Here is a 12,476-nt window from a genome sequence, read left to right on the forward strand (position 1 = left end):
AAAAGCTGGCCACCCCAGCCAGCAGCGGCAACCGGCTCTGGTCCCCTTCCACGTTGTGGAAGCTTTGTTCTCTTGCTCTTCACAGTAAATCTTGCTGCTGCTCACTCTTTGGGTCCACACCACCTTAAAGAGCTGTAACACTCACCGCAAAGGTCTGTGGCTTCATTCTTGAAGTCAGTGAGACCAAGAACCCACCGGAAGGAAGAAATTCTGGACACAATGGGATCCAGTGCTCACAGTGAAATACGAGGGAAGCAGTACAACCTCTGCTCACTTCCTTAAGAGGGAGGCTCTGGCCTTCCCATTGGAAGCCACGTGTTGAAGGTGGTGGAGCTGCCATCATCCAGGTTGTCTTGATGGCTTCTGGGAGCAGAGCTACCTGCAATTCTAGAACATTACCTTGGACTGTTCATTGAGATGTAGATATTTTTGTTGCTGTTGTACTTTAAGTCCTAATTGTGGTAGATCATTTGATTATGTCAACTTTAATTTTTACCCTATATAGAGGAAAAAAATTAACACCATAAACTGCACATGACTTTTCTCTTAATCCAAGGGAATTACAACCAGGAACTTAAACATGTCACTAGGTTGGAGGAGAGCCCCTAAAGATAATTCTCCAGATTTACATTTTTTTCCTTGAGAAAACGTCGTTCTTCCATCCTCTGCTTTGCAAACATTTTTGGATAGATCCAGCCCCTGCCCAGGAGAGTTGGCCAGCTCCATGACTCATGTTCCCAGATCTGATTGATGGCACCTAAGAAAAATTCTAGTGCCCTTGTTTAACAAAGAAAAACTACATGTCTAGAAATACATAATATAGTCAAGGCGTCTAAAGACTCAATGAAGGTATTAAATAGCAGATTAGCCAAGCAGCTCAGTGAACTAGAAGACAGATTAGAGGAGATTACTAAGAATGTAGCACAGAGGTAAAAGAAAATAAAAAAGACTGAGAGATATGGAAGGTAAGATGAGAGGGTCCAATGTATATCATGCATTCCATAGGAAGTGGGAAGATGAGAGAGAAGAAGTTAACTAGGAGTTAATGGCTGAGAATGTCCCCAAATTAAAGAAAGTTATGGGTCTCAGATTGAAGGAGGTCGTGAAATACCAGTCGAGATCCATTAAAATAGAATTATACCTGGACATATCAAGGAAAAACTGATTAGCATCAAAGACAAAGAAAAATCTTAAAAACAACTAAAGGCTGGGAGTGGTGGCTCACGCCTGTAATCCCAATACTTTGGGAGGCTGAGGTGGGAGGATCACCTGAGATCAGGAGTTCAAGACCAGCCTGGCCAACATGGTGAATCCCCATCTCTACTAAAAATACAAAAAATTAGCTGGGCATGGTGCCGGGTGCTTTTAATCCCAGCTACTCTGGAGGCTGAAGCAGGAGAATCGCTTGATCCCAGAAGACACAGGTTGCAGTGAACTGAGTTCACGCCATTGCTCTCCAGCCTCGGCCGCAAGAGCTAAACTCAGTCAAAAAAAGAAAAAAAAAAAAACAGAGAGAAAAGGCATATTACTAGTACAACAAACGACAATAATTTTTCTGGCAATTGGACTGACACCAGATTTCCCACAAACTATGTTGAGCTAAACTACTGTTTAATAGGGAGAGCAAGAAAGACATTTTTGGACAATGTCTAGAAGAACTTACCACTTGTGGAGCGCTGCTGAAATGACAACTGTGGAAGAGTTTCCTGAGTAAGAAGCAAATTAAAACCAGAAAGAAAAATGGGATTCACTAGGAATGTTGAGTAATGCGATATACAAAAATATTAGTAAATGTGAACATTGATGATAAAAAAATCAATAATAATAATAATAACAAAAACAACAGTGGCAGCCATGAAGACTCTAAGGGCTTAATAACAGCCTGAAACTACAATGCCAGCCCAGTAACAAAGAAGGTCAGTCAGGGCTGTAGATACTAAAGTGTTCTGAGGTCCACCTGTTCTTCAGAGCAGGGTATGGATATTGGTTTTTTAGGTCTTATTATGTGCAATAGGCTAAAATTTTTTGAGTAAGCACTAAAATAATAGATACAACTTCTAGGCCCTGAAGGAAAAGAGAGAATAAAACACAATCATTTCAATCAAAGACAAAAAACTAAATACTAAAAAAAAAAAAAAAAAAAAAGGCAAGGAAAATCATGACAAATGGAGAGAACAGAATGAGGTGGTGGTGGGAAGTCCACAAACACGAAGAACACGAGAAATACACGCAGTCGCCACTCACCAGGTGAGACCGCCGTGGTCTCCTGTTGCTGCACACAGAGGCACCGTCTGTCAGGAGCTTTCTGGGCCTCATCACAGATTCGGCAGTGGCAGATCTGACTGGGAACCAGCGAAATCATTGCCCCGGGGTTTCTCACTCAGACGGTCTAAAGACCATGCTTTGAGAAACACTGCTGAAACATGAAAGAAACAGTCTCTGTCCTTCGTTTGCAAGGCCTTCCACTCACAATAAAATCCGTATTTCACACAATTATGCAGAATGATGCTCATTTAATGAGTTAATTCTCACCCCCCTCCCAGTAGTGTGGCCCCATTAGTCTCAGTGGGCCTGTTGGGAGTAAAAGCCGTGGCCTCCTAAAAGCTGCAACCATAGACCAAGACCAAGCTTTCTGCTTCCTTATAAAGGCCTACCTCAACTCCCCCGCCCCTTCCCATCCTCTGATGGGGGAGGGCAGGGCAAGGTGGGCGTGGAGCCTGGGGGTGCACGCTCACGCACATCTCTATGACCAAGCAACTTCACTCCTGAGGATTCGTCCAAAGAAATATTCACGAAGTCCACAAGGATTTACAGACAAAGATCTCTATTGTAACATTGTCTGTAATAGCAAAAATTGGAAAGAACCCAAATGTCAATCAACAGGGATTTGGTTAAATAAATCATGGTAGAGCCATGCAAGGCAGCCATTAAAAAGAATGAAATAGATCAATAGGCATTGATGTGCAAAGAAGTCTGAGACATATTATTAAGTTAAAAAAATGTGCCAGAGCCATATGTAGAGCATGATCCAGTTCTTATAAGGATGAACTCATGTGCCACCTTTGTCTCAGAACAGGCAGCGAGAAACAAAACGTGAAGGGTGTTTACCAGGCTCTGGCTCGAGGGGCAGTGGAGATGATGGAAGTATTTAATTTCTGATCTTTTTCCATTTCTCCACTGTTTAGGTTTTTTTGTTTGATATTTTTAACTAGGCTGTATTTCTTTTACGGACAGGAAAAAAGCAATAAAGAGTTTTTTAATGTAAAGTTATCTTTATATGAGTTTTTAAAATTGCTATTGTTCTTTGTAATAAGAAGGGATTTATCCTGACACTTCTGGCTATATGTGATCTGTTTCTCTACTGAGAATCTTCATCTTCAGGATTATTGCTGTTACACGAACCAGCAGGGCCACATTCTCGCTTTCTTTTCTCTCTCTTTTTTCTTTTTTTCTTTTTCTTTTTTTTGGACTTTTATTTGTAGGGGGAGGAGTATGGGCTGTGAAAGACACATTTGGCGAAGGATTCTTTTTGTTTTGGCAAAGAATTACTTTTTATCATATACTACAGGGTATCTTTTTCAAACAAAGCACTCAGAAATGCAAAACTAATTTCATTTATTATAAGATTTGTGCACACATGATCTATACTGACAGGAAACACTGAGATAATCGAAATAACTTCTTTATATCCTTCACAATCCTTACACAACATTCACATACCACGAAAACCTTTGTTTCATGAATGAATCACAGAATATTCTCTTGGTGATGGCAAGTCAGTGCCGTGGGTCCGTGAGTGTTGGCAGAGCTGCACCTCTGAGGGCTGTCTCCAGGCGGCCACTCTGGAACTGCTGGCCGCTCTCTTCCTTTCAATCACACCATCTGGCTGCACTCGGAGCATCTGTTCTGAGCTGCAGCCTCAGGGCGGTGGCCTTGCCCCTGCCATCGTGGCGTGCCATCTCCTCCTGTCTGTTCTTTTAATATTTTAAAGAGAGCCATTGATTTTCAGCAGGAAAAGGCTTTTCGCTTTTCTACTTTCCTGAGCAATAAGCTAGGTGCAAGGGCAGAAATTTCTTTAAAGTGAGGTTCGAAGGCTGTAAACAGGTCTGTGTCCAAACTACCAGCCTCCAGTTCCTCTGCCACCGGAGTCCATCCTACGGGTCAGGGCAATGAGGTCTCAGGTGCCTCAGAGCTCACAGACCCTCGTAAGGAGTTCCCCGGCCTGTGCCCATCCCTACCCAGGGAACTGCAGGAGGGTAGAAATTGTTACCCATTTGGAGCTCTTTTCACCTCCTAGGCACTTTGTGGTCACTATTTAATGTAACACCTACACCATAAGAGAATTACAATTTCCCCTCCTTTCCAGATGAGGGAGTTGCGAATTAGGGCAATTAGAAGGCTTGCAGAGGTCACATGGTCAGTCTACACCGCAGCTGAGGTTTGAACCCAGGCTGTCTGTTTTTGGGTACCAGATGCTTAACCACCAGGCCCTGGGGATGGGTTGGTGGGTAGCCTGGAAGAGGACTAGTAAAAAACCACTTGCTCTCAGACGGGGATGCTCCAGCCTGGATCAGCCACTAAGCGACCCAAGGCAGAAGCAAGAGGCACCTTTAGGAGAAACACGCGAGTCCCAGGAGATGTCATGGCACCCGTGGGAAGAGCTGGGCGGTGTCATGGAGACCATCACAGCACTGCGAGGGCAGTGTGGGGAGCCCAGCATGTGGGGGCTGCAGTGGCCCCCATCGCACCTCCATCTATGTCACTCAACCACCATGATGGCCTGCGTGTCAGGCAAGAGCAGGCGGGGAGAGGAGAACCCTCTGCTGGTAGAGGGTCTGACATCAACAGGGCCACACGTCCCCTGCCAGGCAGCAATATTCCCCACCAGGCAGGAACAGGCTGTGTGTGCCCGCAGCTGAGTACCATGGGGCAGTGTCCAGAACCTGTCCCCACCAGCCCGGATGCCGTGCCTCCAGCCCCTCCCTCTGCAGCAACCAGGTCTAGGGTCTAGGACACAGTCCATCCCCCAAGCACTGGACGGCCTGCAGGGCAATACGACGTGGAGCCTGCTCTGCAGAACCAACTCTTCCTGCAAGCAGCCCAAAGCCTGGAGCTAGGAGACTGTAGACGGCCCCCTCCCTGGCTGCTGTCTAGATTCCCAGATCCAGCATGAAAGCAAGGCCCCACGCTGGGGGCTCTATGGCCCCAGACGGAAAGGCCCCACGCTGGGGGCTCTATGGCCCCAGACGGAAAGGCCCCACGCTGGGGGCTCTATGGCCCCAGACGGAAAGGCTCCACGCTGGGGCCTCTGCCACACTTGCCCTGTGAGTAGAGCTGGGTCCCCAGCCTCCACTGTCCGCTTCTTCCCCAACTAGAACACAGACGGAGGGGATGTGAGAAGTCTCCCCCCAGCTGCAGCCACAGGGACCACTTCTTCCTGCTGACAAAACCAAGATTGTGTTCAAATTCCTACCCATCCTCGCACCCTCTCATCTTGTGGGGTTTCCTCCCCCAGCTGCAGGGAGGCCAGCTGGATTAGCCTGACTGGCTGGTCCCCAGCCTGGCACACATCAGAAACATCTGGGGACCTGGCTTCAAGTGGACTGCAGGGCCCACTCCGAGCTCTGTGGTGCGGGGGCTGCGGTTCTAACACGCTGTGCTCTGGCAGAGCCACAGCCATGCAGCTCAGCGCCTGACGGTGCCTCCTCTGAGGAAAGTGCTGGGTCCTGGGTGAGGACGGGGCTCACATCAGCCCAGTCGGGCTAGAGAGAAGGACTCAGGTTCCCCGTGGCTGGGGCTGAGTCCTGTCTCTGACACCACCCAAAGCTTCTTCTCATCTCTGACTGCAGGAGCCAGCCTGGGGACAAAGCTGGCCCTGGGACAGCAAGGGTGGGGAGAGGAGCCCAGCCTGATGCCACGGCTCAGCCCTGGCTCATCCCCCTCCCACGGTGACACCCGCCCTGTGCTTCCTGCTTCCTGGTGTGTGAAGTAAGACATTTCCTCTTTTCTTTTAAAAGCAGCTTGAGTCAGAGTTTCTGTCTCTTGTAGCTGAAAGCACCACCTATTTCCTTTCATGGCTAAAATCCATTTACCCGCAGTCCTAGAACCAAAAAATCCAGCACACGACCGCTGGAGGAAACTGGAGTCAGCCACAGACCTTCCTCCGCACCTCGCGGTGGAGGGGACCCTGGATGAGGGGCCATCCCCAGGGAGCTTCCAGGAGCCTGTGTCTTCGGGAACAGAGCGCCAGTCAGGGTCATAAACCCTCATGTTTTTGTTTTAAGTTGTCCTTCAGAACCATTAGTACAAGGAAATGTTATCTTCTAGGCCTATTAGGAGATTAGGGGGAAAAAAGTACTGTATTTTAAAAGAAAGTACTGCAGGTCCGTGATTTGGTAGTTACTTTTACTTAAGAAAAAATGTTATACTGAGTTTTTAAGTTGAAAAGTGAATTAACTTAAAAAAGTATAAGGTAAATAATGCTGTATGTGGTAAGAAAATACAGCTAAAATTATGGTGATGGAAAAAAAGACTAAAGTTGGAGAATTGTAGAGCATGAATATCACATCATAGATGATTGTGTGTCCCCTGTGGAAATGAGACTAGGGGCTCCCAAATAAGGAGCTGTGGAGAGCAGTGCGAATGCATCTCGCCTCGCCTTTACCTATCCCAGAGTCAGTGTGAGGAAGTGACTCGCAAAATACTCTCAGCACTCAGGAGAAAAGAGTCACACACAAAACATGCAGGCGAAGATGGCCTCAGGTTTCCACTGTGCAGTGCTGGGCACCAGAGCCCGATGAACAGCAGAGTCCAGGGAGGAGGGAAAATGTGGTCCTCAGGGCCCAGCACAGGCAAATCTTCCTCCCTGTGTAGACAGGCTTGTATGTTTGACATCGCGTTCTTGCCTGCTGGTCAATAGAGAGAACTTAATCAAAAGCGTAGGAATTATGTCAAATATGCAAGAGCATACAAAGTATACACCTTCCTGGGAAAATGAACTGCAAAATACATTCAGTCAACTGAGATAAGAAGCAAAGATTAGCTCAAAAATGTAAAAGTCCCGCTATAGAAATGTTGGCCAAGTCCCCAGAGACTGGTTAAAATAAGTGGCATAAGAAATTTCTACACATAAAAATTAGCCGGGCGTGGTGGCGGGCGCCTGTAGTCCCAGCTACTCGGGAGGCTGAGGCAGGAGAATAGCTTGAACCTGGGAGGCGGAGGTTGCAGTGAGCTGAGATCACATCATTGCACTCCAGCCTGGGTGACAGAGCGAGAATCCATCTGAGAGAGAGAGAGAGAGAGAGAGAGAGAGAGGCAGGGAGGGAGGGAGAGAGAGACAGAGAGAGAGAAAAGGAAGAAGGGAGGAAGGGAGGAAGGAAACTTCAAAATCTATTTATGATACTCAGTTCCTATAAAATCTACAAAATAAAAATTTGGCTAAAGAAACGATCAGGAACAGGAACCCCGGATTAAATGAGTGCAAGGCCAGACGGGGAGCACGGGAGCGTGAGGAGAGTAAATGTCCTTCCGCGGCCTTTCTCCCAAAACACACACACACACCGCGTCTCATGGAGTGGTATTTCACAAATACGTTAGGTAATTATTTTGAAAAGCTTAAACATACACAGTCGTGTAACTTTAAATAAGCTGTGTGATGTTGTAAAATGACAAAGATAGTGACGGCAGAGAATATAGCCCATTCACAAATGCCAGAGTAAGATATGCCACATGGTACCCTAAAGAAAAAAGACTCAAAAAAAGATGCATGATGTGGAAAATAAGCTCTTCGGTTCGAGAGTATGTTTGATTCATGCTCTCCAATTCTCAAGCTTTAGTAACTGTTTTCTATCACCATACTTTTAACTATGTTTTCTTACCACATACAGTGTTATTTACCTTATGCTTTTTTTAAGTTGACTCACTTTTCAACTTAAAAACTCAGCATAGCATTTTTCTTAAGTAAAAATAATTACCAAAGCATGGGCCTGCAGTACTTTCTTTTAAAATATAGTACTTTTTTCCCCTAATATCCATTAAAATCAAACTATTCTGCATGCATTACCTGAAATGATTTCTCAAAACACCAATGATATGTCTTCCACACCTGGGAAACACTTGTCAAGCACTTAATAAATAGTACTTGATAAGTTTAACTTATTTGCTTTCTATTTATCATAGATCACAAAGAACAATGATGGCCGGGCACCATGGCTCATGCCTGTAATCCCAGCACTTTGGGAGACTGAGGTGGGTGGATCATTTGAGGTCAGGAGTTCAAGACCAGCCTGGCCGAATGGTGAAACCCCACCTCTACTAAAAATACAAAAATTATCCAGGCAGTAGTGGCGCACACCTGTAATCCCAGCTACTTGAGAGGCTGAGGCAGGAGAATTGCTTGAGCCCGGGAGGTGGAGGTTGCAGTAAGCCGAGATCACGCCACTGCCTGGGTGACAGAGTGAGACCCTGTCTCAATTAAAAAAAAAAAAAAAAGAAAAAGAAAAAAGGAAAACCATGGTTTTAGCAATTATGAGGCTTTTGAAATTTAAAGCTTTAAAAGCAGAGCCGACAATCAACCATTAAGAAGAGTAAGATGCTAAAAATTCACACACAAACACTTATACTGAAATATAGTCAGGTGTCACCTAATGATGGGGATCCATTCTGAGAAATGCATCATTAGGCAATTTCATCAGAGTGCACCGACACACACCTGGGCGGAGCAGCCTGCTACACACCTGGGCTGCGTGGTGGAGCCTGTTGCTCCAGGGCTGCAGACCTGTGCCCTATGTGACTGTGGGGAATACTGTGGGCAACTGAAATACAATGGTAAGTATTCGTGTATCTAAACATAAGAAAGGGACAATAGAAAATACAGTATCAAAGATTAAAAATGCTGCACCTGTTTAGGGCACTTAGCATGAATGGGGCTTGTAGAACGGGAAGTTGCTCTGGGTGAGTCAGTGAGTGTGTGGAGCGTGAATCTGAAGGCCCAGGTCGTGACCATAACTACTGCAGGCTTTATAAACACTGTACACTTAGGATATATTAAATTTATGCAAAATAGTTTTCTTTTCGAAATAGTAGATTAACCTTAGATTACTGTAACTTTTTTATGTTATAAACTTAAATTTTTTTAACTTTTTGACTCTTTTATAACACTTTGCTTAAAACACAAACACATTATACAGCTGTACAAAATTATTTTCTTTCTTTATATTCTCATTCTATAAGCTTTTTTCTATTTTTTCATTTTTTTTTTTAACTTTTAAAATGTTTCTGTTAAAAACAAAGAGGCAAACACACAGTGGCCTAGGCCCACACAGGGTCAGGGTCCTCGGTGTCACTGTCTTCCCCCCAACATCTGGTCCCACTGGAAGGTCTGCAGGGGCAATGACACGCACAGAGCCGTCACCTCCTGTGATGACAATGCCTTCTTCTGGACACCTCCCACAGGACCTGCCTGCAGCTGCTTTACAATTAACTTGTTTTTCTAATTAGTAGGAGGAGTACACTCTAAAATAACAATAAAATGTATAGTATAGCACGCATCATCATTATCAAGTAGAATGTGCTATGCACAACTGTACGAGCTATACGTTTATACAACTGGTAACGCAGTAGGTTTGCCTATACCAGCATCACCGCAAACGCGTGAGAAATGCATTGTGCAATGACATCACAAGGCAGTAGAAGTCTTCCAGCTCCACGATCATCTCAGAGGCCCACCGTTGTCTGTGCCATCCATCATGGACTGAAACGTTGCTAAGCGACTCACGACTACACAAAGAATAAGAGCCTCACTGCTTCCTTCTGTTGCCTGCTGGACCCCCCATTGAGTGTGTGGTCAAGGGCGCACTCCACGGTGAGTATGGGTCATCACTGCACAGTGTGTGTGTGGCCATGGACCCACTCCACGGTGTGTGTGTAACCATGGAGCCCTCCACAGGGCGTATGTGGCCAGTGAGGAAGGCAGGCATGGTTCAGCTCCTGAAGGCCTGGGCTTAGCTCTCAAGGAACCGGGCTTGGACACATTTGGCCTGTGGAGGGCTGACCCTCAGCTCCTGCCTCACACTGCCCCCATGCTCCACTGTCGGCAGCCTTTGAAGACATTTCAGGCCCCATGTCTGCCAATCTCCCAGGGCCATGTCCCAGCCACGCCAGCCTCCTCTGTTTCTGAGCAAACCAGGCTCCTCCAGCCTCAGGCCCTGAGTGTTCCACGCTGTTGGTAGCTGCCCCCACCCATGCGATTCCTCCCTTCTAGGATGGTCTCATGCAGGTGTCTCTGTCTCCCACACAGCCCAAATGCCCAGGGAGGGCTGAGCCTCTCTCAGTGGAGGGAGCCAGCCTCTGGAAGGCAGCCCCAGCTCCCGGCTCGGACGCTGACTCAGCCCTGGGAGGGGAGGGGGTTCCAGGGAAACTCCTCCCAGTTCGGGAGAGACACTTCCCAGCTCCGGAGAGACTCCTCCCAGCTCCGGAGAGACTCCTCCCAGTTCCGGAGAGACTCCTCCCAGCTCCAGAGAGACACCTCCCAGTTCCGGAGAGACTCCTCCCAGCTCCGGAGAGACTCCTCCCAGTTCCGGAGAGACTCCTCCCAGCTCCGGAGAGACTCCTCAAAGCTCTGGAGAGACTCCTCCCAGTTCTGGAGAGACACCTCCCAGTTCCGGAGCAACTCCTCCCAGTTCTGGAGAGACTCCTCCCAGTTCCGGAGAGACTCCTCCCAGTTCCGGAGAGACTCCTCCCAGTTCCGGAGAGACTCCTCCCAGCTCCGGAGAGACTCCTCCCAGTTCCGGAGAGACTCCTCCCAGTTCTGGAGAGACTCCTCCTCATTCCAGAGAGACTCCTCCCAGCTCCGGAGAGACTCCTCCCAGCTCCAGAGAGACTCCTCCCAGCTCCGGAGAGACACCTCCCAGTTCCAGAGAGACTCCTCCCAGCTCCAGGAACGTGTCTGAACGTGGTTGGCTTGTTTTCCTCTGGCCACTGCCAGGACCCTGGGCGAAGGTTTGGCCAGCAGTGGAAGACATAGCACAGTGGCCCCAGCAGACTCCACGGTCAGCACAGAGCTCCTGCCCGGGGTCAGCCTGAGGCCCACCCTCCTCTGGCAGCTGTCGCTGGACCTGCTGCTTCAGACCACTGTACTCCAAGCTCCTGGTTTTACTGCCAAATGTGCAGCACCAAGACAGCTTGAAATACTCTTTCACTGGTCTTGATGAGAATTCACCCTTCTTGAAGTGAATTCCTTCTCTTTCTTTTCACGTGGTAGGTCCAATGTCTCCTCCTCAGAGTGGCCTTCTCTGAATCCTCTTTATTTCTGTCCCTCACAGGGAAAGCCCTGTTTATTTTGTGTCTCCACCACCCATACAGAGAAGAAAGGTCTTGAGAGGGGTGTTTGGTAGGGCCTCTCTGACCACAGCATCCTCAGAGCCCCTGAACTAGAGCTGGCCCAGGAAGGACCAAACCAGAAATCTACTTTTTCTTCTTTGTTATTTCTTTATTTAATATTAATTGCAAACAAATTTGTAATTACAAGCATGCTAAAAAATCTTTTATTAAGAGGCACATACACACTTTGCAGCTTCCAGGTGTCTGAGTTTATTGGTTACATTTTTCAAAAGGCCATCACACGACCCTGGAGAGAAGCCCCCAGCTGCCGAGCAGCAGTAGGAGGAGGGCGAGGCCACAGGACGGCACGCGGGAGGCGCCAGCCGCAGAGAACACGCACAAGCCTGACGGCTGGAGCAGCACCACGTGCATTTCCTTAAAGAACGGAGGTGCAGATCCGGGCAGGGCGAGCTCAGGGTTGGTTAGTTCAGGAGCTCTGCGCGTCTCAGGCAGCCAGGACCCTGGGTCGAGAGAGGCTGCGATGGTCCCACCGTCACATTCAGATCTGACCATGGCCAGTGGAAGAGGAAGAGATGTGTCCTCTTGGGCTGTTTTCTCAGGGACTAGCAAACTTTGCTCGGGCCCTGTCCACCCACGTTCCCACAAATATCAATGCCAGAATTGGGCCACACAAGCCTCCCGTGCTGGTGCCTGCGGCTGGCGGAGACAGACACGCACCACAGCAGGTGAGCACCATGCGACTGGAGTTAAAATGAAAACACCTTTCTTCTAGAAGCATGAAGGAAACATTTCAAATGATGACGCTTTGTGCTGCTGATGGTGAGTGAAACAGAACTCTCCATCCATGGGATGTGGGCACACGACCCAGCCCCAGCTTCCTAGAAGGCAGCGGGATGGGTACAGGACGGGGACGCTGCCACCTGCCTTTGGCCCAGGACTCCCATCTCTAAGAATACATCTTAAGGAAAGAAGTAAAGTGCATATGAGCAAAAATATTATGTACTGATATGTTCATTGCATTAATATTTTAAAAATTCAAATATCCAAAATTGGAATGCTTATACAAATTTTGAACTATACAAATAACCCAATATTTACATGCTATTACACTGATATTTAAGAAGAGTGTTCATTAA

At 47.4% G+C, this 12,476-nt stretch overlaps 1 long non-coding RNA gene across 1 annotated transcript in view, besides 3 other annotated features; it reads right to left on the reverse strand.

The window, feature by feature from the left end:
- LINC02487 (long intergenic non-protein coding RNA 2487) overlaps nt 1-2,618 on the reverse strand; it is a 15,599-nt gene extending 12,981 nt beyond the window's left edge. Inside the window, exons 1-3 of the long non-coding RNA NR_117092.2 lie at nt 2,533-2,618; nt 2,245-2,416; nt 1,664-1,706 (exon numbers count right to left, since the gene is read on the reverse strand). This is a non-coding gene — a long non-coding RNA (long intergenic non-protein coding RNA 2487). The remainder of the gene's footprint in view (nt 1-1,663; nt 1,707-2,244; nt 2,417-2,532) is intronic.
- Nucleotides 5,628-5,707: an enhancer, noted in NCBI's record as "active region_25458". NCBI's record gives its function as "activates an Ori minimal core promoter by ATAC-STARR-seq in GM12878 lymphoblastoid cells {active_cell/tissue: GM12878}" and the evidence as "EXISTENCE:reporter gene assay evidence [ECO:0000049][PMID:35858748]".
- Nucleotides 5,848-5,997: an enhancer, noted in NCBI's record as "active region_25459". NCBI's record gives its function as "activates an Ori minimal core promoter by ATAC-STARR-seq in GM12878 lymphoblastoid cells {active_cell/tissue: GM12878}" and the evidence as "EXISTENCE:reporter gene assay evidence [ECO:0000049][PMID:35858748]".
- Nucleotides 9,612-10,153: an enhancer, noted in NCBI's record as "H3K27ac-H3K4me1 hESC enhancer chr6:168103963-168104504 (GRCh37/hg19 assembly coordinates)". NCBI's record gives its function as "activates a minimal SCP1, AML or CMV promoter by ChIP-STARR-seq in primed H9 embryonic stem cells {active_cell/tissue: H9 hESC(primed)}" and the evidence as "EXISTENCE:reporter gene assay evidence [ECO:0000049][PMID:30033119]".

This window comes from Homo sapiens, chromosome 6 (genome assembly GCF_000001405.40).
Source record: "Homo sapiens chromosome 6, GRCh38.p14 Primary Assembly".
NCBI lineage: Eukaryota > Metazoa > Chordata > Mammalia > Primates > Hominidae > Homo > Homo sapiens.